Source organism: Homo sapiens, chromosome 7 (assembly GCF_000001405.40).
Source record: "Homo sapiens chromosome 7, GRCh38.p14 Primary Assembly".
NCBI classification, from domain to species: domain Eukaryota; kingdom Metazoa; phylum Chordata; class Mammalia; order Primates; family Hominidae; genus Homo; species Homo sapiens.
In genome coordinates, this window is record NC_000007.14 from 13777610 (window position 1) to 13781430 (window position 3821).

Genomic DNA, 3821 nt, shown 5'->3' on the forward strand with positions numbered 1-3821 from the left:
GTAAGAAGACAAGACAATTGACTAAGATCAATATTGTATTCTTAATTGGATCTTGGAACTAAAACTAACAAGAGTGAAATAACTGGTGAAATATGAATAATGTCTCTAGTTTAGTGGATAGTATTGTGGCAAACTTAATTTTTTACTTTTGACAAATGTACTGTGGTTGTGAACACTAGAATAAAACAGAGTGAAGGGAACTTGGGCGCTCTGTACTTTGTGACTTTTCTGTAAACCAAAAATTATTCCAAAGTAAAAATTTATTTAAAAATAAGTAAAACAAAAGTTTCTAAAGCAAAGTTTTTCATGAAAGACACATGCCTGAGAGAGTCAACTTTAGATCCAAGTTTTGTAGTCCTAAGTTCTCGTCCCCTGTTTCCTCCCAGTATACTATTCTGTCCCAGGACTTAGAATCTACTCAAGCTGGCAGGGTGCCATGGCTCACGCCTATAATCCCATCACTTTGGGAGGCAAAGGGGCGGATCACCTGAGGTCAGGAGTTCAATACCAGACTGGCCAACATGGTGAAACCCTGACTCTACTAAAAATACAAAAAAAAATTAGCCAGGTGTGGTGGTGTGCACCTGTAATTCCAGCTACTCGGGAGGCTGAGGCAGGGGAATGGCGTGAACCCGGGAGGCGGAGCTTGCAGTAAGCCTAGATCATGCCACTGCAGTCCAGCCTGGGTGACAGAGAGCGAGACTCCATCTCAAAAAAAAAAAAAAAAAAAAAAAAAAAGAAATAATCTATCTAGGATAGTTTCTAGAGTTGATGTCTCAAACTCTAGGTGTCCTGAAGTGAGTGCTATGGCAGAGACATCTTGTTACATTATTGGGGCTAAGTAGAGAACAATGATTATAGGAGTTATAATAATAGTTAGCATTCATTGAATTTCCTGTGATCCAGGCACTGTTCTAAGCCCTTTACATGTAGTTATCTCATTGAACCCACAAAATAACTTTGTAATGTGGAATTATCTTTATTCATTTCCAAATGAAGAAACTGAGACACAGGAAAGTGAAGCAAATTATGACATGGCCAATAAGTGACAGAATCAGATTTCAACCCTCACCAATCTGATACTAAGATAGAGCATCTGACTGTAACTGTAAAAGCATTTGGGCTGAAAGTACAGCTCAATACATCCTTATTAATAATGATGATATTAGCAGGTAACATTTATTAAGATTTTCCCTTATTTAAACCTCACTGCTATCCCTATGAGGTAAGTACTGCTACAGATCAGGTACCCTGGGAAGTAAACTTCGAGACAGGTATTAGAATACAGGAAGTTTATTGGGAAGAGCTCTCCGGATTAACATCTGTAATGGAAGGGGGGGTTAGCAAGATAGGAAAAAGTTGTATTGTGGTATGATCACAAGTCTCAGCCCTTTCTAATTGGATGGAGCACTGGAGCTGGGAGAGCACTGCAGAGCTGTGCAAATTGTGGCAAAGTGGCTGGGGGCATATACACCCTCAGTGGTAGTTCCTGGATGTGGGTGGCACCAAGGGAGGGTTGAGGCCTTGCGTGAGGGCAGGGGCAGTCTCCGGAAGGGGACTCATCTGTGAGTCAGCAGCAGCCACCCTGCCAGGCAACTTCAGGATAAGCACTTCAGTTCTGGAGTGTGGGCAGAGTGCTAGGCAGATTTTGAGTGGTATACCACATATTTATGATTCAAAAAACTGAAGACTAAAGAAAAAGCTACATGCCACAAATAAAATAAATGGTCATTGTATTAGTCAGTGTTCTCCAGAGAAACAAAGCCATTAGGATGTGTGGATCAATTAGCAAATGATTGATAGGTAGCTAGATAGATTATTGATTTATTATAAGGAACTGGCTTATACAATTATGGAGGCTAAGAATTTTAGTCCTAGGAGAGCCAATATAATTCCAGTATGAGTGTGAAGATCTAAAATGCAACAGAGCCAGTGGTGTAAGTTCTGGTCAGAGTCCTAGTTTGAAGGCAAGTGAAGACAGATATCCCAGCTCCCATACAGGCACACAGAGAGAATTCTTTCTTACTCAGCCTTTCTTGTTCTATTCAGGCCTTCAACAGATTGAATGAGGCCCGTCTACACTGAGGAGGACAATCTGCTTTACTCCTTCTACAGATTCAGGTGTTATTCTCATCCAGAAACATCCTCAAAGATATACTACAATAAGGTTCAACCAAATGTCTGGGTGTCCCATGATCCTGTGAGGTTGACATATAAAGTCCACTGTTACAGTAAGTGACATAAGTAAAGCATGGCTTCAAGTCTGTTGGAGTCCATTGTGAATCCTAACCAGTGTGCTATGCTGTCTCAAAATATGCAGGAGCTACTGGGGACCAAAGGAGAGTTTAGGGAGAGTGTGATGGGAGCAAATACACTGATACAATTGCAAGGGCAGCTTCCTAGTTCACTCCAGGAAGTCAAATGCTCCCTGAGAAGTGACATAAGGCAGTTATAAATTGAATCATATTTTGATGTAGTTATAGTGACTCTTAACCACCTATTTAAAACGATAATACAAAATATCTTTATTAAGTGAATAAGGCATTAAATTACTTCTAAAAATTTTACATGCAAAAAATATGAAAGATTAAAAAGGGATGTTCAGATGCATTAGTAGTATAAGAATAGAACTCCCAAACCAGCAATCTCTGACGTTCTGGTACATTGGGCTTTCTTCAACTAGAACTCACATATGTGTAATTAACTCTGCTCATAGTGGCAAGGAAATATAATTCTATGTGCAAACATATTTGTGAAAATTGATATGCTGATATATTTTTATATATTTACTCTAGCTCAAATAATTGAATGGTTAATTTAACTATTGTGAATAACACTCCAAAAAATGTTTCACTTTTTTGGCTAATTTAACAGCAATTAAATGAACTGTTAATCTCTTTTTTTCAAAATTACAGAACTTGTCTTATAATGCATTTGAAAGCCTCTAATTTCCTGTGTATCAAAGAGTGAAGTTTACTCTTTCCATTTTAGATTTAACAAAAGTAGTTAACTGGGAAGATCTAAAGAGAAGTAATTCCAAACAGGATTTCCATTTTACATGGAAATGTGACAAGAAGAATTAAAAGGAGCAGAATGAGGTAATGAAGGGAGAGGTGAAGAAGGACAAGAAGGAAGTGGGAGAGATAGAGGAGCTTGTTTAAGGTTTAATGATAAGAATAGTAAATAACCATGAGGTCATTAGAAATAAAAACAATTTTAGATACTTTGTAATCCACTGCTATTCCAGATTCATATACCCCTGTAAAACTGCTAACAAGGCCTGCTCTTCCCATAGTTCTACTTTCAACTCGTCTTTAAATATAAAGATGAGAAAATGTCAAATGCTTTTCCAAAATCAAGCTATAATATATCTAGAGTAGAGCACTCCCCAGATTTTCTAGTCAAATAAACACTGCCTAAAAAGGAACTGAGTCTGATCTGGCATTAGTTTCTAGTAAATTTATTCTATAATCACTGCATTCTTTTCTTAGATTCATAAAGTGTCTGTTTATTAATCCATTTAAGAACTTGACCAGAGTTTGTCATAGTCACATGTCAATTCTATGGCTTGGAGTTTTTCTGCTCTTTGATATTTGCAAGATTTCAACTTTGACACCATGTTAATAATATAATAATTAATTATAATAATAATTAATAATATAATTATAATAATAATTAATATAATTATAATAATTAATAATATAATTATAAAATATAATCCCCAATGGTAAACAATCATAAAACCTATTTTTATATAACTTTTTCACTGTACTGCAATATGAAGATTATTCTCCTTGATGAAAATGACATTAGCCAATAGC

At 36.6% G+C, this 3821-nt stretch overlaps 1 annotated feature.

The window, feature by feature from the left end:
* Positions 1056-2255: an enhancer, noted in NCBI's record as "P300/CBP strongly-dependent group 1 enhancer chr7:13818290-13819489 (GRCh37/hg19 assembly coordinates)". NCBI's record gives its function as "activates an origin of replication core promoter dependent on BRD2, BRD4, P300/CBP, MED14 and CDK7 cofactors, with strong dependence on P300/CBP, by STARR-seq in HCT116 cells {active_cell/tissue: HCT116}" and the evidence as "EXISTENCE:reporter gene assay evidence [ECO:0000049][PMID:35650434]".